General features: G+C 43.8%; 1 protein-coding gene across 4 annotated transcripts in view, besides 1 other annotated feature; it reads right to left on the bottom strand.

The window, feature by feature from the left end:
• SPPL2A (signal peptide peptidase like 2A) overlaps positions 1–20,505 on the bottom strand; it is a 63,441-nt gene extending 42,936 nt beyond the window's left edge. For all 4 annotated transcript variants that reach the window (NM_001438112.1, NM_032802.4, XM_017022680.2 and 1 more), the window contains exons 1-5: positions 20,267–20,505; positions 4,435–4,545; positions 3,487–3,669; positions 2,912–3,001; positions 2,294–2,427 (exon numbers count right to left, since the gene is read on the bottom strand). In NM_001438112.1, the coding sequence (NP_001425041.1) occupies positions 2,294–2,427; positions 2,912–3,001; positions 3,487–3,669; positions 4,435–4,545; positions 20,267–20,332 (584 nt within the window). In that variant the 5' untranslated portion in view covers positions 20,333–20,505. The remainder of the gene's footprint in view (positions 1–2,293; positions 2,428–2,911; positions 3,002–3,486; positions 3,670–4,434; positions 4,546–20,266) is intronic.
• Positions 20,080–20,539: a silencer, noted in NCBI's record as "silent region_6430". NCBI's record gives its function as "represses an Ori minimal core promoter by ATAC-STARR-seq in GM12878 lymphoblastoid cells {active_cell/tissue: GM12878}" and the evidence as "EXISTENCE:reporter gene assay evidence [ECO:0000049][PMID:35858748]".

The following is a 24,169-nucleotide window of genomic DNA, read 5'->3' on the forward strand; positions in this document are numbered from 1 at the left end:
GTGCAATGGGATGATCTCGGCTCACTGCAACCTCCACCTCCTGGGTTCAAGTGATTCTCCTGCTTCAGGCTCCTGAGTAGCTGGGACTACAGGCGCACGCCACCACACCTGTTTGATTTTCGTACTTTTACTAGAGATGGGGTTTCGCCATGTGGGCCAGGCTGATCTCGAACTCCTAACATGAGATGATCCGCCTGCCTCAGCCTCCAAAGAGCTGGGATTACAGGCGTGAGCCACCACATCCGGCTGAGACGGGGTTTCACTATGTTGCCCAGGCTGATCTTGAACTCCTGGGCTCAAGTGAACTGCCCACCTGACCTCCCAAAAATGAGTCACTGCAGCTGGCCTTTTTTTTTTTTTTTTTTTAGTAGGGTCTCACTCTGTTGCCCAGGTTGGAGTGCAGTGGCACAATCACAGCTCCCTATAACCTGAAACTCCTGGGTTCAAGCAATCCTCTCACCTCCACCTCCTGAGTAGCCTCTGGGGCTAGAGGTGTGTGCTAATTTTGTTATTTTTAGAAGAGATGAGGTCTTGCTATGTTGCCAAGGCTAGAAAATATAATTTTTAGGCCGGGCACGGTAGCTCACGCCTGTAATCCCAACACTTTGGGAGGCCGAGGTGGGCAGATCACCTGAGGTCAGGAGTTCAAGACCAGTCTGGCCAACATGGTGAAAACTCATCTCTACTAAAAGCACAAAAACTAGCCAGGCATGGTGGCAGGCACCTGTAATCCCAGCTACTAAAGAGGCTGAGGCAGGGGAAGCGCTTGAATCTGGGAGGCAGAGGTTGCAGTGAGCTGAGATCATACCACTGCACTCCAGCCTGCATGACAGAGCAAGTCTCCATCTCAAAAAAATATATATAAATATATAATTTTTAATGTGAGAAATCCTAAAATTGAGAGATGCCTCAATTTATCCGTGACTTTATAAAGCAAAATTAAAAACAAACATGGAGGCCAGGCACAGTGACTCACACCTGTAATCCCAACACTTTGGGAGGCCAAGGCGGGCAGATCAAAAGGTCAAGAGATCAAGACCATCCTGATCAACATGGTGAAACCCCATCTCTACTAAAAATACAAAAATTAGCTGGGCATGGTGGTGCGTGCCTGTAGTCCCAGCTACTTGGGAGGCTGAGGCAGGAGAATCACTTGAACTGGAGAGGCGGAGTTTTCAGTGAGCCAAGATCGCACCACTGTACTCCAGCCTGGCAACAGAGCGAGACTCTGTATCAAAAAAAAAAAAAAAAAAAAAAAAAGGAAAATGTAAAAACATTTATGTTTATTTTGTCTGACTAGCTTGCGGCTAATTATGTTCTCTAAATGCATAAGAGTTCTCTGATATTTTACTGTTCCCTTACAGTATGCTAAATAGCCATTGCTTTTGAGAATTGAATAGTGTGGTGTTTAGTGGTTATTTAACTGTGTCTATGTTTTTCAAAGTTTTATATTAATTATTTACTTTTTTTTTTTTTTTTTTTGGAGACATAGTCTCACTCTTGTCACCTAGGTTGGAATGCAATGGCACAATCTCAGCTCACTGCAACCTCCACCTCCCAGGTTCAAGCAATTCTCCTGCCTCAGCCTCCCAAGTAGCTGGGATTACAGGCACGCACCACTGCACCCAGGTAATTTTTGTATTTTTCGTAGAGACAGGGTTTCACCATGTTGGCCAGGCTTGTCTCAAACTCCTGACCTCAGGTGATCTGCCCGCCTTGGCCTCCCAAAGTGTTGGGATTACAGGCGTGAGCCACCGTGCCTGGCCTATTTATGTATTATAAAAAGTGACAGTAGTACCATTTTAGTTGGCCTGAATGTTTTCAAGCCTTGAAATAAATCTTGACTAAGTGAAAAAAAAGATGGACATTACTAACATCCTTAGAATTCCTAAAGCATTAAACAGAATGATGAGGCCACACTGTAATGACCCAGCCCAGGAGGAGCTGAAAAACTCCCCACTTTCTCTTGCTTATTTTCTTCCAATCTAAATCAATAGGCATATTAGGATATCTCCCATGACCTTTCCTGGGAGACAGAATTAAACATTTTAACTTAAAAGGGTCTCTGATGTGATGTCAATGTTCCTCTGACAGTGGAAGAGTTAGAGAAATCTGTGACTCTTTTCTCTCTGGTGAAAATGTAAATGATCTACATGAGGACAAACCTGCAGACTGGGCTTACTGGCATCATATTCTGAGGGCAGATAAATTTTTAAATGTTGTTATATAATTAAAATGATTGCAGAAATTTTTAACCATTTATTACAAAAACGCTTAAGTTAATTAAACTTACAATTCAACTAGTCCACTCCAGTATCCACCTAATGCCACAGTGAACACCGCAATTACAAAAATAACCACCATAGTATAATCAAAGTTAGGCCACGATGGAGAATACATTTTCACAGTAATGTTATCTCCTAGAGTCTGAAAGGCAAAATAACAGTTAAACACAGGAATAACTTTTCTTTCTACTATAGTCATAACAGCAATAGTCCACATTTCACTCTGGAATGGACATTATACATCAGACAGTCAAGAAGACTAGAATTATTGTCTGATGACATGATATATTCTCTAGTCAAAAGTATGATGATATGCTTTGGTTTATAAAATCTTTAAAGTACAGTGTTCTACACAATCATATTTTGTTCAGGAACCTAAAGTTAAGATAAATGACATGACAAGAGATTTTTAAAGAACTGAAAACAAACATCCTTTCTAAAGTTTAGGCTTTGAGACACTTGGTGCCAAATGAGAGATGAGTACTTTCCAAACAAAAACTTGATAGGCCTTATAGCTTCTTGTTAGCAAATGGAGCAAATATAACACTCAAAATTAAACATTAGTGATTAAAAATAAAGAGATACAGTATTTATAAACTTTATCTAATATGTAATTGCTAATTTACCTGGTTCATATCTCTAAAGTCTTTGTAGCTTATAAATGCAATCAGTATTTTCACATCAGGAAATTCAGATCTGTTACCTGAGGGAGGAAACTAAAAAAGAAAAAATTATGAAAACTTATTTACTACTAATATATTTATAGAATAAAATACTATTCCATTAAATATAAATATTACGTCTTTCTTTAAGTTATAAGACAAAATTTCAGGTATTCTTTCTTAACACTCTAAGTTCTCAAAATTGAATCCTTTTAACATGAACTTAAACTGATAAATGCTATAATATATATAGCATTTATGATATATTCATATTACATATGTGTAATACATATATATCTCTATATATATGCATATATATATATTTGTTCCTAACAAAGTCTTGTCTGCTCTAGGAATAGAAAAACTGAAAAACTTTCCAAGTAAATGCCTATTAGATCTTGATTATTTATTTACAAAGAATCTTGCCATCAGATCATTCAAAACTCAGCCTCTAAACCACACACAAAGACGTTAATTCCATTTTTGTGAAATTTCACATCATGAACTCAAAATAAGATATGATTGTTTTTATAACTTACTAGGACACTGTTATTGACAACTAACATTGCTTCAGCACCTCCTTTCTGTGCAATTCTGGCTTTTTCAAGAAAATGGCAGCTTCCCCATGGAACCACAACTGCTTTGCTCTTTATGCCAACAGGAGGAATATCAGAAAGGTTGCATAGTGGTGTGGAAGTCAGATTCATCAAACTAATGGAAGTCTGAAAATAAGAAATGTCTTTTTAACATGTTAAAAATCTATTTCATCCTAAATGCATTCAGTTATAAATACTGCCTTTGGTTATCAATATTGGTTTAAGACAATATCTTTTGAATTAGAAATATTTAGGCTTAGAATTAAGTATTTTAAAATTCCCTATTTTCCCAGAGAGAAAAATACTTGAGAAAAATCAATAATTATTTATTAACAACCGTACATGACAATGGTTCACACAATAAAACATAATTATCAGTCATTCTCACTTCTTCAATATTTTTTCTTTTTTCTTTTTAAATAGAGACAGGGTGTCACTATGCTGACCAGATTGGTCTTGACCACTTGGTCTCAAATGATCCTCCCATCTTGACATCCCAAAGTGCTAGGGTTACAGGTATCAGCCATTGTACACAGCCTTCTTCACTATTTTTTTTTTTCAGAGACGAAGTCTCACCCTGTTGCCCAGGCTGGAGTGCAGTGGCATGATCTCAGCTCACTGCAAGCTCTGCCTCCTGGGTTCACACAATTCTCCTGCCTCAGCCTCCTGAGTAGCTGGGACTACAGGCGCCTGCCACCACACCCAGCTAATTTTTGTATTTTTAGTAGAGAAGGGGTTTCACCGTGTTAGCCAGGATGGTCTTGATCTCCTGACCTCATGATCCGCCCGCCTTGGCCTCCCAAAGTGCTGGGATTACAGGCATGAGCCACCGTGCCCAGCCTCCTTCTTCACTATTTTTATGTTTATGAATAGTAACTGTGATTTACTTACTGCATTTTCTAGGGTACTTGGAAGAGCTGTCCAATAAGGGTTATAAAGCATGCAGTAGTCCTTGGTTGTGCCATTTCCAGACGCATGCAAGATTGCTTCCTGAGCGGCTGTCTAGGAGACAAACAATAACTTTCAAACTTGCAATGTTATGGCTTGCCAACAACTAAGGATTTTAATAAAGCTATTTATATGCAGGGTTGATCACATTTCCTTGAGAGGGATGGTCTTCCATGAATTTGTTTCTTCTTGTTTGAGGAAATAAAAAGGATGGTTAGGAATATTAAAACTATACACAATTGCCCAGCACACCTTCTTTAAGGAAGATAGGTCACTTTCTTAAGGGAGTAACAATTATGACTCTTGTTATAAGGGCCGTACCCCAGGGAGAATTCTTGCTATGATGTAATTTCAATACTTGACAGCTGGAAACTTTCCTTTCCAATCTCCTATGAATTATTACTTCATTGTTTATATTATTTTCTTTTTGACACAGAGTCTTGCTCTGTCACCTAGACTGGAGTGCAGTAGCACAATCTTGGCTCACTGCAACCTCCACCTCCTGGGTTCAAGCAATTCTCCTGCCTCAGCCTCCCAAGTAGTTGGTACTACAGGCGCGTGTTACCATGCCCAGCTAATTTTTGTATTTTTGGTAGAGACAGGGTTTCACCATGTTGGTCAGGCTGGTCTCGAATTCCTGACCTCCCAAACTGCTGGGATTATAGGTGTGAACCACCGCACCTGGCCATTGTTTATATTCTATAAAACAACATGTACTCAAAATCCATCAATCTGTCTTACGTTCCATATTCTACTAGGAACTAGGGTACAAAGAAAAAAAGTACATTATCATTTCTAAGTGCTATCTTTGGAAGAGAACCAGCTGGAACTTGAAGTAAATTATTCTTGCTCATGTTTTCAAAATTCTGCAACTGCCTATTCAAAAAGACCAATCCAGAATTTAAAGTACAGAAAAAGAAAAGCGTTGTCTCATTTCCCACTACCTGGAAAGAAAAGCCAAGAGGTAAGAAGTGATTGGAAAGAATAACTATTGTACCTGGGGGGAGAGGAGAGTATAAAATGAAGAAATATCCAAAAATATTTAGAATACACATCACAATAGATTAAGAGTTCACATCACAATTTCCTTAAAACTTGGCTCAATACAAATCCTTCTCTCGTCCTCTGAGCAAATCTTTTTCTAAACCCGTAAGGAAGGAAAAAGAAAGAATGCTTGGCAAATGTTGATGTACTAAGCTTCTGCCACCAAAGCACATTATTAGATTGAATCACATGACATTGCTGATATTTGACCAATTTTAATCTAGAAAACTGGTAGTTTCATACAAGTCAACGTAAGTTTCTAATGAGTATAGAAATGTTCTAATCCCATGCTCTGTTACCTAAAATGTCCCTTGAACATTTTGGATTAGAGGGTTTATGCCATACTTGGGGCTGCACAGCTTATGGATCTAAGCAAGTATAGGGAATTCATAAAACATGCCATCAGATTACATAGAATTAGATAAGGAAATAAGATGTGAAAAAGAGAAATGTAGTTTTCATTCAGCTATATACTTGGTGGCTATGAATGGATTCTGATAGCAGAGATGAACTAGTATTTTACATTCTTATGATATAACAAACTACATGCTAGGTTACTTTCATGCATTTTTTCTGATTCAATGTCACTGTTTTTACAAACAAGGGCTCTGAGACTCAGACAAGTCACTAACGTAACCTACCTAAGGTCATATAGTAAAATCATTTACAGTTCTAGCTAAAGAAGATAATCCTGCAGATAAACATGAAGGTTGCTTAGATTTAATTTAAACATTTTTGGAAAGAATGCTTCATAAGTGAATTGGGTACTTCTTACTGCATCCAACAAAATAACACATTAACATCATGATTTCCTGCACTAGTGATGCTGACTTTGACGATCTGGTTAAGGTGGTAACCGCAGGATTTCTCTAGTGTAAAGACATGTTTTTCCCTTTATGTTTGATGAGTAAGTAATCTATGGCACCATGTGAACAGCCCAACAGCTTCTTCTCACCAGGATATTAGCCTCCATGATGATCCTTAACTAAATTTAATTTCCCATATCATACTAGGGATTACAAAATGGTGAATTTTTAAAATATTGTCATTCCTTCTACCCTTACTGGCTAGTATCCTTTGTTTTTTTCTTTTGTTTGTTTTTTTGTTTGAGACGGAGTTTCGCTCTTGTTGCCCAGGCTGGAGTGCAATGAATGGCATGATCTTGGCTCACTGCAACCTCCGCCTCCGGGGTCAAGCAATTCTCCTGCTTCAGCCTCCTGAGTAGCTGGGATTATAGGTGCCTGCCACCACGCACAGCTAATTTTTTGTATTTTAGTAGAGACGGGGTTTTGTCACGCTGGCCAGGCTGGTGTGGAACTCCTGACCTCAGGTGATCCACCCACCTCAGCCTCCCAAAGTACTGGGATAACAGGTGTGAGCCACTGCACCCAGCCATATCCTTCTTTTTAAAAGAGCTTTACTCTCTCCCCTACCATCTTTTAGTATCAGTAGAGATGCATTAATTTTTTAAAAATTTCAGTGTGGTATAATTACGATGGTTTGTCTGATATTCAAATTGTTCCAAATTTGGGCATTTAGAACCTCTTATAGCTGGCTCTTTGTATCCTTTATGCAAGACTCATGCCTTTAATCCCAGCACTTTGGGAGGCTGAGGCGGGTGGATCTCCTGAGGTCAGGAGTTCGAGATCAGCATGGCCGATATGGCAAAACCCCGTCTCTACTAAAAATACAAAAATTAGGCCGGGCGCAGTGGCTCACACTTGTCATTCCAGCACCTCGGGAGGCCGAGGCGGGTAGACCACCTGAGGTCAGGAGTTTGAGACCATCCTGATCAACATGGTGAAACCCTGTCTGTACTAAAAATACAAGAATTAGTTGGGTGTGGTAGTGGGCGCCTGTAATCCTAGCTACTCAGGAGGCTGAGGCAGGAAAATTGCTTGAACCTGGGTAGTGGAGGTTGCAGTGAGCCGAGATCGTGCCACTGCACTCCAGCCTGTGCAACAGAGCAAGACTCCATCTGAAAAAAAAAAAAACAACCCAAAAAAACAAAAAACAAGTCTTTGAGGACTTCTTGTTTTTTTGACACAGGTATCCTAGGCTGACCTTGTCCTTTATCTGCTATACATCCAGATCCAGCCATTCCATTAAGCTCCTTGTGGAGAGGAAAGATACCCAGATCAGGATCTGGGTCTTAACTGTGCATGCTGCTGCTCAAGTGGTATAACCTTTTTAATAAAAAATGAGCAGCATCTATCAAAAATTGTAATACATAGAATCTTGTGATTCATATCTACAGATATAGTATGCAAAAGCACAAAAATAAATGTATAAGGATATTAACTGTAATATTGTATGTAATAGCAAAAAAACCCAACTTCCACCAATAAGGTAACTGTTACATTATGATATGCACAGTACACAGCTACTCAAAACAAAGAGCTAGATCTATTTCTAGAAACAGAAGATGTCCATAGTGAGTTTTAGAGTGATATTTATAGTATAATCCTATTTTTATATAATGACCCCTCAAGAAGCCCCTACAATGTATCTGTGCATTTATATGAGCTTGAGGAAAAATGTGGAGAGATACATAAAGAGGCTATTAAAAGAAAAGAACATGCAGCAAATTTTGTGAGGGAGCCAGCATGCCCAAACAAGTTAAGCCTTTCCATGACATTTTAAATATCTTAGTAAAATTTCTCATAGATATTGCATAGCTTCGAAAATTCAGTTTACTACAATAGATATGGTAGAAAGGTTAAGAGCATGAGTTTTTAAATGATAGTACAAGGATACAATGCTAGTTTCATCATTTACTGGTTATGTTACAAGTTTTTTAACCTATCTTAAGTTTCAATATCCTCAGCTTTGAGATAACAATAAACACTCAGACCTCACAGTTATGATAAGGATTAAGTTAGATGATGCAACTGTTTATACATATTAATCTCTTAATAAATATATCTAGCACTTTGCCAAGTACTTATGCAATGTAAAAGAAATACAAAAGATTAATGGTTGGAAGATTAGTGGTTACTTGGGTCCTGGTGGGATGTGGAGATAAGGGGTACAGCTAAAGGACATGGAGTTTCTTTCTCTCTTTTTTTCTTTTTTTTTGAGACAGAGTCTCACTCTAAAGCCCAGGCTGGAGTGCAATGGCGTGATCTCGGCTCACTGCAATCTCCGCCTCCCGAGTTCAAGCAATTGTCCTGCCTCAGCCTCCTGAGTTGCTGGGATTACAAGCACCCACCACCACGCCTGGCTAATTTTTGTATTTTTAGTAGAGACAGGGTTTCACCATGTTGGCCAGGCTGGTCTCAAACTCCTGACCTCAGACGATCCGCCCGTCTCAGCCTCCCAAAGTGCTGGGATTACAGGCGTGAGCCACCATGCCCGGACTTCTTTCTTTCTTAAAAGACTTTATTTTAAAGCAGTTTTAGTTTTACAGCAAAATAAAGCAGAGAATACAGAGTTTTGACATAGCCTCTTATCCTACACATGTGTAGCCTCTCCCAGTATCAATATCCCACAGCAGAGTGGTACATTTGTTACAACTGATGAACCTCCATTGACACATCGTCATCATCCAAAGCTCATAGTTTACATTAGGGTTCATTCTTGGTGTACATCCTATGGGTTTTGATAAGTGTACAATGACACATATCCATCATTACAGCATTGTACTACATAGCTTCACTGCCCTAAAATTCCTCAGTGCTCTACCTACTTTCTTTTTCTGATGATGAAAATGTTATAAAATTGGCTGTGGTGATAGTTGCACGTATCTGTGAATATACTAAATACTATCGGCTTATACATTTTAAATGGGTGAATTGTTTGGTATGCAAATTATACGTCAATAAGGATGTTGAAAAAATAACACAAAACAAGAAAGTATAGTCTTACTGGGGAGATTAAAAGCAAACTTGAAACTGATAATCATGAGCAGGAAGTAATTAAAGCCAAAGACTTCCTAGCAAAAACTTTAATAGTTTTTAAGTTATTAAAAACGCAAATTGGCCAGGCATGGTGGCTGGCACTTTGGGAGGCCTAGGTGGGCGGATCAACTGAGGTCGGGTGTTTGAGACCAGCCTGACCAACATGGAGAAACCCTGTCTCTACTAAAAATAAAAAATTAGCTGGGCATGGTGGCCCACACCTGTAATCCCAGCTACTCGGGAGGCTGAGGCCGGAGAATCACTTGAACCCAGGAGGCAGAGGTTGCGGTGAGCCAAGATCGAGCCATTGCACTCCAGCCTGGGCAACAAGAGTGAAACTCGGTCTCAAAAAACAGAAACGAAAACAAAACAAAAACAACAACAAAAAAAACGCAAATTCGGGGCCGGGCATGGTGGCCCACACCTGTAATCCCAGCACTTTGGGAGGCCTAGGCAGGAGGATCACGAGGTCAGGAGATCGAAACCATCCTGGCTAAGAAGGTGAAACCCCGTTTCTACTAAAAATAAAAAAATCAGCCAAGCGTGGTGGCACGTGCCTATAGTCCCAGCTACTCGGAAGCCTGAGGCAGGAGAATCGCTTGAACCCGGGAGGCAGAGGTTGTAGTGAGCCAAGATCGCACCACTGCATTCCAGCCTGGGTGACAGAACGAGACTCTGTCTCAAAAAAAAAAAAAGCAAATTTGGAAGGGCACGGTGGCTCATGCCTGCAATCCCAGCGCTTTGGGAGGCCAGTGCTGGAGGGCCACTTGAGGCCAGGAGTTCTAGACCAGTCTGGGCAATATGGAGAGATCTCGTTTCTACAAAAAAATAAAAAATTAGCTTGGTGTACAGGCGTGTACCTATAGTCTCAGCTACTCCAGAGGCTGAGGTGAAAGGATTGCTTGAGGCTTGGAGGTTGAAGCTGCAGGGAGCCATGACCATGCCACTGCATTCCAGCCTAGGGCCTAGGTGACAGAAGGACACCCTGTCTCAAAAAAAAAAAAAAAAAAAAAAAAAAAAAGAAGAAAAGAAAAAAGCAAATTCTTGGGCCCCATTCCAGACCTACTGAATCAGAAGTTCTGACCAATTTATGTTTTAACAAGCCCTTCTGGAGATTCTGACATCAGTTAAAGTTTGAGAACCACTGCTATAGGAGCAGTGCTTATAGGAGACAAGATCTTGCCATGGTACTCAGGCTGGTCTCAAACTCCTGGCCTCAAGTGATCCTCCCACCTCAGCCTCTCAAAGTGCTGGGATTACAGTTATCAGCCACCACGCTTGGCCTGATATTCTGCATTTCTAATAAGCTCCTAGGTGATGCTGATGGTCAATGGACCCCACCTTGAGTAACAAGGTTATAAAAGAACAGAACAGTGGAAACCACAGTGCTGTGTCAATTAAGTTGGGAAACATACAGAAAATGGGCTTGAAAGTCAGGGTCTGGACTGGGCGTGGTGGCTCATGCCTGTAATCCCAGCACTTTGGGAGGCCGAGGTGGGCAGATCACGAGGTCAGGAGATCAAGACCATCCTGGCTAACATGGTGAAACCCCGTCCCTACTAAAAATACAAAAAAATTAGCCAGGTGTGGTGGTGGGCGCCTGTAGACCCACTTACTCTGGAGGCTGAGGCAGGAGAATGGCGTGAATCTGGGAGGCGGAGCTTGCAGTGAGCTGAGATCACGCCACTGCACTCCAGTCTGACAGAGTCAGACTCCGTCTCAAAAAAAAAAAAAAAAAAAAAAGGTCAGGGTCTGTTTGAACATTACAAGTGCCAAATTAGGTGATCCACTCATACTAGTATTAGATCATTTGACAAAGATCCTTCCTTTTCACCCTCCAAGTTAGAGACATGCTCCAGAATGTCTGAATTTTCCTTTGTAATAAACTGTGGTCTGGTCTTCTATGGCTTCATTAAAACCTTAAAAAAAATTCTTTTAGTAAAAAGTTTAGTATCAAGAGCTAAAAGGGGGTGGGCATGGTGGCTCATACCTGGAATCCCAGCACATTGGGAAGCTGAGGTGGGAAGATCGCTTGAGGCCAGGAGTTTGAGATGAGCCTGGGCAACATAGCCAGACCCCATATCAATTGACAAAAATCATTTAAGAGGTAGAAGGGATTTAGAAATAACATAATCTAGTCTCTTCATCTTATATATGAAACAGATCCAAAATGACCAAAAGGATGAGGTCAGTCTCAGGACTAGAACTGGGCTCTCTAAAACCGAGATCAGTAGTCTTTGAAATCTGCTGTCACTTCAAGTCCCTTCACACAGCTAGATCCCCAAGCACCTCATTCTCAGTGCCCAACCATCACACTCCAGTTTTAATAATGATCACATATTTCTCTGCATTCGCTGTTAACTCCTTCCCTTCTACAATACTGGCATGGGTTTCCTACCGCTTCTCAAGTTCCTCTAATAACCAATCAGTTCCTCCCACATCCTAAATCCTTTCTTTTTTTTTTTGAGACAGAGTCTCACTCTGTCGCCCAGGCTGGAGTGCAGTGGTGCGATCTCTGCTCACTGCAAGCTCCGCCTCTGGGATTCACGCCATTCTCCTGCCTCAGCCTCCCGAGTAGCTGGGACTACAGGCGGCCGCCACTGCGCCCGGCTAATTTTTTGTATTTTTAATAGAGACGGAGTTTCACTGTGTTAGCCAGGATGGTCTCGATCTCCTGACCTCGTGATCCGCCCGCCTCGGCCTCCCAAAGTGCTGGGATTACAGGCGTGAGCCACCACGCCCGGCCCTAAATCCTTTCCTTATACTCTTCTAAATACTCCCAATTCTAGGACTGTAGAGCTCATGGAACTCCTTTCCCTATGACAAATGCTCCTTACTGCTCACCCCCAATCTTCCTTTTACAGGCCAATTCCTTCAGACTGGTCCTGGAATCGAGTGTCCTCCAGGGCCATCAAATCAAGCTCACAACAGAATCTTTATATTCAGCATCTTATTTGATCCTTACACACAAAGGAAGCAAGTTTACTAGCCCATACTGTGAAGTTCTACTTCCTTTTTCTCTGACTTTATGAGGTGCCTGTTATGGTATTCTGGGATCTCATGAACAATTTTAATTTACTTTGTCCAGATCAACTGACTTCAATCATATTCCCTATCATTTTCTTTTCAAATTAAAGAATTTTAATGTTTCCAGCCTGTACAACATGGCGAAACCCCGTCTCTACTAAAAATACAAAAATTAGCCAGGCATGGTGGCAGGCGCCTATAATCCCAGCTACTCGGGAGGCTGAGGCCTGAGAATCGCTTGAACCCAGGAGGTGGAAGTTGCAGTGAGCTGAGATCGAGCCACTGCGCTCCAGCCTAGGCGACAGAGTGAGACTCCGTCTCAATTATAAAAAAAAAAAAAAAAAGGCCGGGCGCGGTGGCTCACGCCTGTAATCCCAGCACTTTGGGAGGCTGAGGTGGGTGGATCACGAGGTCAGGAGGTCGAGACCATCCTGGCTAACACGGTGAAACCCCGTCTCTACTAAAAATACAAAAAAATTAGCCAGGCAATGTGGTGGACGCCTGTAGTCCCAGCTACTCAGGAGGCTGAGGCAGGAGAATGGCGTGAACCTGGGAGGCGGAGCTTGCAGTGAGCTGAGATGGCGTCACTGCACTCCAGCCTGGGCGACAGAGCGAGACTCCATCTCAAAAAAAAAAAAAGAACAATTTTAATGTTTAAATATATCTTAATGTTGCCTATTCCTTTGATCATTTAGAGTCTCACTCTGTCGCCCAGGCTAGAGTGCAGTGGCGTGATCTAGGCTCACTGCAAGCTCTGCCTCCCAGGTTCACGCCATTCTCCTGCCTCAGCCTCCCGAGTTGCTGGGACAAGAGCAGGTGCCCCCCTGGCCCATTTTTTTGTATTTTTAGTAGAGATGGGGTTTCACCATGTTGGCCAGGATGGTCTCGATCTCTTGACCGCGTGATCTGCCTGCCTCAGCCTCCCAAAGGGCTGCAATTATAGGCGTGAGCCATCATGCCCAGCCATTTATGATTTACATTAGAATTCACAAACTCAAATGCCTACAAGGCCAGGCAAGTAATATAAATGCTTAAGTCAGAACTGATTTAAGACCATAGGGCATGGTAAAGCTTGGCAAATTCTGGCCTAAAAACAATCAACTTAAAAAAAATTTTTACTATCTTCAGGGAAGGGCCTATACTTGGAGACTTTATGGTTTGGATTTTCATAAACGGACCAAATTCCAGGTGATTTTAAACAACTGATCAAATATATAATAAGCATATCTATCTATCTATCTATCTATCTATCTATCTATCTATCTATCTACAGGATCTCACTCTATCACCCAGGCTACAGAACAGAGGCATGGTTGCAGCTCACTGCTGCCTTCAACTCCTGGGTGACTCACCTCACCCTCCTGAGCAGCTGGGACTACAGGCATGATCCACTGTACCCGGCTAATTTATAAAGTTTTTTTAAAGATGGGGTCTTACTATTATACTGCGCAGCCTGGCCTCAAACTTCTGGCCTCAAGCAATCCTCCTGCCTCAGCCTCCCGAAGTGCTGGTATTACAGGCATGAGCCACCATGCCTGGCCAACTTTTCCTATTTTTAAGCCTTTTCTTATAAATAAAGTTCACAAATTTATCCTATCAGTCTTATACCCTATTTTTGATTCAGAAAAAAATTATTAGCTGGGTACAGTGGCTCACACCTGTAATCCTAGCATTTTGAGAGGCCGAGGTAGGAGGACTGTTTGAACCCTGGAGTTTGAGACTAACCAGGGCAACAGAGCAAGATTCTGTCTCTATTAAAACATATATAACCTATTTATATTACATTAATAAGAAAAAAAGGCCAGGCGCAGTGGCTCACGCCTGTAATCCCAACATTTTGGGAGGCCGAGGCAGGTGGATCACAAGGTCAGGAGAACAAGACCATCCTGGCTAACACGGTGAAACCCCGTCTCTACTAAAAACATAAAAAATTAGCCGGGCATGGTGGCGGGTGCCTGCAGTCCCAGCTACTCGGGAGGCTGAGGCAGGAGAATGGCGTGAAGCCAGGAGGCAGAGGTTGCAGTGAGCCGAGATTGCGCCACTGCACTCTAGCCTGGGCGACAGAACGAGACTCTGTCTCAAAAAAAAAAAAAGAAAGAAAAGAAAAATTATTACTGCCTAATTTAGTGGAAAAATAGCAAAAGACCTTGGTTCTAGTCCTATTTTTCATGACTTTCTATGTGATCTAGGATAAGTCATAATTTTCCTGAACCTTCTCAGGATTTTTTGAGTTTCAAAGGAGATTATAGGTGTTGAATTTTGGGAAAGAGATATATAGCCATTAGTGACTTAGAAAGGAGCCAATGGGTTGTAGAAATCACAGACAGTTCAGAGGCAAGGTAAAACAAAAATTGTGAAGAACCTGAAAGTTAAAAGGAGGAAATGTAATAAACCTAGCATGTTTTAGTCAGCTCAGGCTTCATAACAAAGTACCACAAACTGGGTGGTTTAAACAACAGAAATTTATTTTCTCACAGTTCTGGATCAGGTGCCAGTTGGGCCAGTATCTAGTGAAGGCTCTCTTCCTGGCTTATAGATAGCTACCTTCTCACTGTGTCCTCACATGGCAAAGAGAGAGAGAAAGCTCTCTGATGTCTTTTTTTTTTTTTATTTCCCCCAAGACAGTCTTGCTCTGTCGCCCAGGCTGGAGTGCAAAGGCACGATCTTGGCTCACTGCAACCTCTGCCTCCTGGGTTCCAGTGATTCTCCTGCCTCAGCCTCCCATGTAGCTGGGGTTACAGGCACCCACCACCGTGCCCAGCTAATTTGTGTATTTTTAGTAGAGACGGGGTTTCATCATGTTGGCCAGGCTGGTTTCGAACTCCTGACCTCAGGATCTGCCTGCCTCAGCCTCCCAAAGTGCTGGGATTACAAGTATGAGCCACCACACCTGGCCTGATGTCTTTTCTTAAAATGGCACTAATCCTATCATGAGGGTCCCGTCTTCATGAGCTCATCTAAACCTAATGATTTCCTGAAGGACCCATCTCCAAATATCAATACACTGGGGGTTATGGCTTCACCATATGAATTTGGGGTGGGGCTGTTGGGGGTGTGGGGGACACAATTCATTCCACAGCACAGCAGCTCAGCAGATTTCTTACTGCCTGGGTAGCAGAACATACCTACTTTCCCTTGGAGGTTGAGAGAACAGAGCAGAAGAGAAAGAATTGAAGAATCTTTGAGTTGGTGTAGTATACAAAAGGAAGGCAAATTTTCAGCAACAGATTTTTCTGCTGGGGATCCTGATTATCATTTCATTGTATCAAGCTCAAGATGCAGCTATATGCTACTTCAAATTCTTTGAAGAAAAAAAAATCAACAAAACTATTTTTTCATTTGTGTGTGTGTGTGTGTGTGTTTTTAGAGACATGGTCTTCTCTGTCACCCAGGCTGGAGTACAGTGGCGTGATCATAGCTAACTGCAACCTCAAACTCTTGAGCTTAAGTGGTCCTCCTACCTCAGCCTCCCACGTAGCTGGGACTAGAGACACAAGCCACCATGCTCAGCTAATTTTTTAATTTTTTGTAGAGGTGGGGTCTTGCTATGTTGACCAGGCTGGTCTGAAACTCCTAGCCTCAAGCAATCCTCCAAAACAGAACTTTTAAAGACACTATGAGGAAGACTCAGGATTCTTCAAAGAACTTTGAAGCAATTTAAAAAGACAGAGCTGCCGGGCACGGTGGCTCACACCTGCAACCCCACACTTTGGGAGGATGAGGCAGGCAGATCACCTGAGGTCAGTAGTTCGAGAGTAGCCTGACCAATGTGGAGAAACCCCCGTCTCTACTAAAAATACAAAATTAGCTGGGCGTGGTGGTGCATGCTTGTAATCCCAGCCACTGGGGAGGCTGAGGCAGGAGAATTGCTTGTACCCGGGAAGCAGAGGTTGTGATGAGCTGGGATCGCACCATTGCACTTCAGCCTGGGCAACAAGAGTGAAACTCCATCTCAAAAAATAATAATAATAAATAAAATAAAAAGAGCCAGGGCCAAGAGCGGTGGCTCACGCCTGTAATCCTAGCACTTTGGGAGGCCGAGGTGGGTGGATTGCCTGAGCTCAGGAGTTCAAGACCAGCCTGGGCAACACAGTGAAACCCCGTTTCTTCTAAAATACAAAAAATTAGCCGGGCATCACGACGTGCACCTGTAATCCTACTCGGGAGACTGAGGCAGGAGAATTGCTAGAACCCAGGAGGCAGAGGTTGCAGTGAGCCGAGATAAGGCCACTGCAATCCAGCCTAGGCTACAGAGCAAGACTCCATCTCAACAAAAAAAAAAAGAGAGCCAGCATAAACAATATCCATTGTCTTTGAAACAGAATCCCATGACTGCGTCCACACTGAGAAATAAAGTTCTGACCATTGTGACCCAGGGTCGAGGTTGAACTGGGGAAGGAGAGGTGCAAAATGTAATTATGGCAGCCAGGCATGGTGACTCATGTCTGTAATCCCAGCACTTTGGGAGGCCAAGGCAGGAAGATCACCTGAGGTCAGGAGTTCGAGACCAGCCTGGGCAACATGGTGAAACCCCATCTCTACTAAAATTACAAAAATTAGCCAGGTGTGGTGGCAGGCACCTGTAATCCCAGGTACTTGGGAGGCTGAGGCAGGAGAATCACTTGAACCCAGGAGGTGGAGGCTGCAGTGAGCTGAGATCGCACCACTGCACTCCAGCCTGGACGACAGAGCAAGACTCCATCTCAAAAAAAAAAAAAAACAAAAACCCAAAAAATAAAATGTACTTATGGCAAGGTCAAGACACAGCTAACTACCTGCTAGGCGCTCATTTAATTTCTAGACCTAATGGGTTTAAAAAATATTAAAACAGCCAGATGTGCTGTAGCTTCAGTTCAAAATACACAGTGAGGTCACTCTGATGTGAAGATGACAAGATGAGGAGGGTAGGCAAATGATCTTTAAGGGCCTTTCCAATACTAAATCCTCTGCCTCTTCTAGATGGATGTGCCAGTGGTTTCTGAAGACTACGTGCTGCTTCCATTATAGATGAGGATGTTGGCCCTGTTATTACATGACTAAGGGGAAGCAGTGCCAGTTTCTTTTTTTCTTTTCTTTTTTTTTTTTTTTGAGATGGAGTCTCGCTCTGTCACACAGGCTGGAGTGCAGTGGCACGATCTTGGCTTACTGCAACCTCTGCCTCCCGGGTTCAAGCAATTCTTCCGCCTCAGCCTCCCAAGTAGCTGGGATAACAGGCACGCACCACCACGCCCGGCTAATTTTTTTTTTTTTGTATTTTTTTTTAGTAGAGACGGGGTTTCACCATATTGGCCAGGCTGGTCTCAAACTCCTGACCTTGTGATCCACCCACCTGGACCTCTCAAAGTGCTGGGATGACAGGCGTGAGCCACCACGCCCGGACAAGTAGTGCCAGTTTCAAGAGCCCAGAGAGGAGAAATGAAATGATTGAGCTGGCATCACTAATCAAAGGAACTCAGAAAGGCTACCTAGAGCTGTAAAATTAGGGAAGAGGAATAAACAAAGGGCTTCAGGGAGAAAATGGTAGAAGACTTCAGACAGAGTTGGAGGAAAGGAACTAGGTATCCAGAAAGGAGAAAGAACTCCAGCTGAGGAAAAGGAAACCAGATCTACCCAAGTTCTCAGAACACGAAAGGAATGAGAAAGAACATCTCAGGAAATTAAAGGAAGGAGGAACCAAGAAGAAAACAAATCCATAAAGAAATCAACAAGAAATAGAAAAATCAGTGATACTAGCTGGTATCGAAAAAAGATCCTTACAATTTAAACAGATATTGTCAGTTTATTCAGTCATCAGGACATTACATCCCATATAATAAGATGCACACCAAACATTTGCAGTGTAGAAAAATGTTACTTAATCTTCACAACAACCCTAGAACCGAGGAATATAGAACCCGAGATTACCATGGTGAGGTACAACAAAGCACATAGGTGCAATATAAAAGGCCTAAAATCGCCGGGCATGGTGGCTCACGCCTGTAATCCCAGCACTTTGGGAGGCCGAGGAGGGTGGATCACGAGGTCAGGAGTTCGAGACCAGCCTGACCAACATAGTGAAACCCCCATCTCTACTAAAAATACAAAAATTAGCTGGGCATGGTGGTGCTTGCCTGTGATCCCAGCTACTCGGGAGGCTGAGGCAGGAGAATTGCTTGAACCTGGGAGGCGGAGGTTGCAGTGAGCCGAGATCGCGCCACTGCACTCCAGCCTGGGCGACAGAGTGAGACTCCGTCTCGAAAAAAACAAAAACAACAACAAAAAAAGGCCTAAAATCCAGAACGTGGGAGACAGCCTAGATACAATTTAGAACAGGGATGATCTTTAGATTTGTGAAGGCTATGAAATCAAATGACAAGTCTACTTAAGTAGAGTTTTCTGGTGAGAGGGCTCAGGGCCTTTAATAAGAATTTCAATGTGAGTTTATGAGGAACTGATGTATCACTAAGCTATTAATTTATGTTGAGAAGGGATTAGTACGAATGTGATATTCATTCTTAAAATCAGCTCAAGAGATTCAAATGAAAATGAATGCAAAAACACTTTGAAAAGTTTTATATCTAGGTTATAGTTTTGCATACATCTACATACTATCTGAATATCTTTTGGACATAAGTATTATCTGTCTGATTACACAGTAAACACCTTAAAGACTCCGACTAACACTGCTACTTTGTTGCTCTTTTTATATCGAACTCCCCTCCCCCAGCAATTTTTAGATACATTCTCTCAGGTTCCTGATGTTGCCTGTCAAAGTTATGAATACACCAAAAGGCACTTACTTTTTGGCTTAGATTTTGGTTTTTCAATAAATATTAAAGACACTTTTGTATTCACTAATACTAACCCCTTAAACTGGAGAGTCAGCAAAACAGTCTTTCAAAGAAATCACACATTCTAATAGAACGAAACAAGCTTACACGACACCAATTCTGTAATAAATAACATGCGTAAGTTTCCAACCTGAAACTCCCTAAGTAAAAGTCACTAGAAACAAAAACTGAAACACCGGGTTCCTGACACCCCACTCCCACACTGAAGCTCGAATTACTTGAGGCTGAATTTTAAAACACTATTACTTCTCTGTGACTATGAAAACAAATCTATGAACACATATTTCTTACTTACATTTAACCGACGCTCCCCACCCATCCCTTTAAATTAGGCAGAAAACTGAAAACCACTAAAAGCATTACATTTTGGTGTCTTCTTTTAAAAGTTATTTTAAATTACTGCTATTAAAACCCCCCCTCCAAAAAAAAAAAACCCTCATAACAGAATCAAATGAGCCCTAAGGCGAAGCAGGAGCTACAGTGGGGGAAGGGAATTTTAAAAAGACATCCGTGTTAGTGCAATTAAAGTGCAGTCCTCGAACCGCTAAACATACTGGCGCCTTGTATAATTTTTTTTTCTTCCCAAGGGTAAAAAGCGGTAAGAAAGGCTTAGACAATAAAACCCAGAGGTCAATTTTAAATATGCTGGGACAGTGAGCAACTATCGAGAAGCATCAAGGTCAACGCAACCTAAGGGGCTCCTCTGATCTTTTTGCGGTAGGTATTTCGCCAGACTTCAATGGGCGGGAACCGAGTGGGGGGCGGGAAAGTTGGGGGAAAGAGGGTGGAAAAGAGGAGGGTGGAAGGAAAGAGATGAGTAATGGAAAGAGGAGGGGAGGAAAGAGGAGTGCGAGAGCAGGCCGCGGAGGTGCGGGCAGAGGGGAGGCCGGGCGAGGAGTAGGGGAAGGGAGCCCCGGCCTTGGCCCCGGCCCCGCCCAGCCCCTGGGAGGCCTGCGCGCCTTCCCGCCCCCTTACCAGCTGGAGCAGGAAGCCCCAGAGTAGGGCGGCCCCGGCAGGGGACAGCCGCCGCTGCGGCCCCATCGGACTGGTGGGTGCCGGGTGGGACGGCACGGTGCGGCGCAGCTCACTCGGCGGGGTAGGCTCGGAGTCCCGCCGCTGCGCTGCCTCCGTGGCCGGACCGGACCGGACAGGCGCGGGCGGCCGGGCTACGACTGGACCGCCGCTGCTACAGCGGCCGCCACAGCAGCGCGACTTCCTCTTCCGGCCCCGCCCGTAAGATGCGGAAACCCCCGCGCCGGGCTCGGAGAGTCCCAGCGCTCTCCCGGTATCCAGGCGTCCCGGCGTCCCGGCGCTACGAGGCCACCGGCTGCGGGTCTGAGCCTGTCGCTTTCCGGCTGCCCGACTTTAACTCACACCGAAGCCTGGCGGGAGAACGGATTTCTCAAGGCTCGGAAGTGTCTGAGCGTCTGCTCGGTTCCCCAGTAACTACCCGAGTGTTGCATGCAGCCAGAAATCTAAGGGTCACCCTAATTCATCTGCCTGTCATTTGTTCCTGGCCACTCTGACTCACCACATAACCCAGATCCATCCACTTTCTCCAGAACTGCTGCCACCACTCTATCCAGGCCACCAACTTCCCTCTCCTCCAAACGGGTCTCAGTTTCCCCTCCGGACAGCCCAGTAGCCACATAACAGTCCCAGAGCCATCTTTCAAAACATATAAGTCAGATCATGTCTCTCTCTATCACACTTGGAATAAAATAAAAACTTGGCCGGGTGTGATGGCTCACACCTGTAATACCAGCATTTGGATGGCCGAGGTGGGCGGATCACAAGGTCAAGAAATCGAGACCATCCTGGCCAACATGGTGGAACCAAGTCTGTACTAAAAATACAAAAAATTAGCTGGGCGTGGTGGCACGCACCTGTCGTCCCAGCTACTCGGGAGGCGGAGGCAGTAGAATCGCTTGAACCGGGTAGGCGGAGGTTGCAGTGAGCCGAGATTGTGCCACTGCACTCCAACCTGGGCGACAGAGCGAGACTCGGTCTCCAAAAAAAAAAAAAAAAAAAAATCAAAACTCTACTCTAGCCTGCAAAGGTAAATCTGGCCCCTGCCTTCCTGTCTCCCCATCTTCACTACTTTCCCACACTTTAAGGCGCACGGACCTTTGGCCCTCCCGGCCTTTGCTCTGGTGGGCCGCCCGGACTTTGCTCTGGTAGTCCTCCCTGCTGGAGTGCTCTTCTCTCCAAAGCTCAGAATGCCTGCCTTGTTGACATTCACTTATCAGCTTCAATGTCGCTTCCCCAGACGGGACTTCCTGACATACCCAATCTAAAGTACCTGTCCAGTCACTTTCTTTTCTTTTCCTTTCTCTTTTTTTTTTTTTTTTTTTTTTGAGACGGAGTTTCGCTTTTCTTGCCCAGGCCGGAGTGCGATGGTGCAATCTCGGCACACTGCAACCTCCGCCTCCCAGGTTCAAGCAATTCTCCTGCCTCAGCCTCCCCAGTAGCTGGGATTACAGGCGCGTGCCACCACACCCGGCTAATTTTGTATTTTTAGTAGAGACGGGGTTTCACCATGTTGGTCAGGCTGGTCTCAAACTCTCGACCTCAGGTGATCCACCCGCTTTGGCCTCCCAAAGTGTTGGGATTACAGGCATGAGCCACCGCACCCGGCCTGTCCAGTCACTTTCATATTATTGTTTATTTTAATTATCTGCACAGCACTTTTCATTCTATGTATAGGTTCATTTATTTATGCCACCTCCCACTTCATAGCAAGGGGTGTCTTTGCTTTGTTGACTGCTATACCCTTTACATCTACAGTATTTGGCATATAGTAGGTCCTCAGATATTTGTTGGATGAATATTTAATATCAAATGCTGAATAGGACAGTGTGCCTGCCACCCCACAGCTCATAGTTTAACGAGGGACACAGATGTGTGAGCAAACACAGTTCAGGGTGAGTAGTGACTCTTGTTTGCACAAGATGTTATGGAAGTATCAAAAGGAGTTATAAAAGGGGTGCCAGGAAAAATACCAGCCTGAGCTGAGTCTGGGTGAGTTAATTTTAGCCAGGCAAAGGGTAGAAGAAGGGGGGCACTTCCAGGAAGAGTGAGCCATTAGTGTCAAAGCCAAAGGTGGCATTGAAGGAACTGCAAAACTTGGGCTTGGCTGAAGTTATGAGTGGTGAAAGATGACATGTGAGAAGAGGCCAGAGGCAAAATCATAAATACATTGGGACTGTTTGTGACTTTGGGCTTTGTCCTGCCAGGGGTAGAGAACAAATGAATAATAAATAGGGCAATGACATACACTTTCTGTTTTAGAAAGCTCTCTATGGTGGCTGGCAGGGCAGCAGACGTGTTGAAACAGGTCAAGAAGTGGAAGCCAGGACACCTGTTAGACATCTGTAGTAACAAAATCCAGGGACACTGAGGGCTTGAACTGTGGCAGAAGAAATAGGGAGGAGGAGATGGATCTAAAAGACTTGTAGCAGAATTTGGTAACTTTGAAGACATGGAGATAAAGGGAGAGGTATGATTCCCGGGTTCTTGCCCTCGGCTATTTATTGAGTTGGGTGCCAAAGGCGAAGTAGGTGGGGGTTGATGGGATAAATGGGTCGGGGGGAATACTTTTGGAAGTGGGTTTGAAATGCTTTTAGGATATCCAAGTGCAAATATCTGCTGTCAATGGCTATGTGGGTTGGTCTGAAGCTTAGGGGCACAGTGAGGTAAGAACTGCCTCATCTGCTGCCTATCAATTCTGGACTATTTTCATACTTTCTAGTTGCCCACAGCAAGCCAGGTTCCCCACCCCCTCCTTTTCTTTTTGTTTTGAGATGGAGTTTCACTCCTGTTGCCCAGGCTGGAGTGCAATGGTATGATCTCATCTCACTGCAACCCCCGCCTCCCAGGTTCAAGCGATTCTCCTACCTCAGCCTCCCAAGTAGCTGGAAATACAGGTGCCCACCAACACACCCAGCTAATTTTTGTATTTTTAGTAGAGACGGGGTTTCATCATATTGGCCAGACTGGTCTTGAACTTCTGACCTCAGGTGATCTGCCTGCCTCAGCCTCCCAAAGTACTGGGATTACAGGCGTGAGCCACCGTGCCCAGCCTAGGTTCCCCTTTTATAGAATAGCTGTATGGACTGGATGACTTCATCTCTAAATATTCCCATCTGCCTCTCGTGGCCCTTTGCCTAGTGAATCTCTAAACTGGCTCTTGGGCTATCAGAAGAGCTCTAGTTTTTGTTTGTTTTTATTTTTTGAGACAGGGTCTCACTCTGTGCCCCAGGCTCTGAAGTGCAGTGGCACGATCTCGGCTCACTGCAGCCTCGACCTCCCAGCTCAGGTGATTCTCCCACCTTAGCCTCCTGGGTAGCTGAGACTACAGGCATGCACAACCACGACTGGCTAATTTTGGTATTTTTTTTGTAGAGATGAGGTCTCGCTGTGTTACCAGCTGGTCTTGAACTCCTGCACTCAGGTGATCTGCCTACCTCCCAAAGTGCTGGAACTTGTGAAAGGAAAATAAATCTTGGGACCCCAAAATCACTAAGCCAAAGGGAAAAGTCAAGTAGAGAACTGCTTAGTGGAAACTTGCCTCACATTCTATTCCTTAAAAGCGGATGGATCTGGGTTGTGTGGTGAATCAGGATTGTTAAAGCTCCCCAGATGATTCTAATATGCAGCTAAGGTTGAGAAATGTTGGCTTAGACTGTGATTCTTAAAGTGTGGCTCCTGGATCAGCATATCAGAAATACCTGGGAACTATAAAAAATGCAAATTCTTGGCCGGGTGCGGTGGCTCACGCCTGTAATCCCAGCACTTTGGGAGGCCGAGGCGGGTGGATCACGAGATCAGCAGATCGAGACCATCCTGGCTAACATGGTGAAACCCCGTCTGTACTAA

This window comes from Homo sapiens, chromosome 15, assembly GCF_000001405.40.
Source record: "Homo sapiens chromosome 15, GRCh38.p14 Primary Assembly".
NCBI lineage: Eukaryota > Metazoa > Chordata > Mammalia > Primates > Hominidae > Homo > Homo sapiens.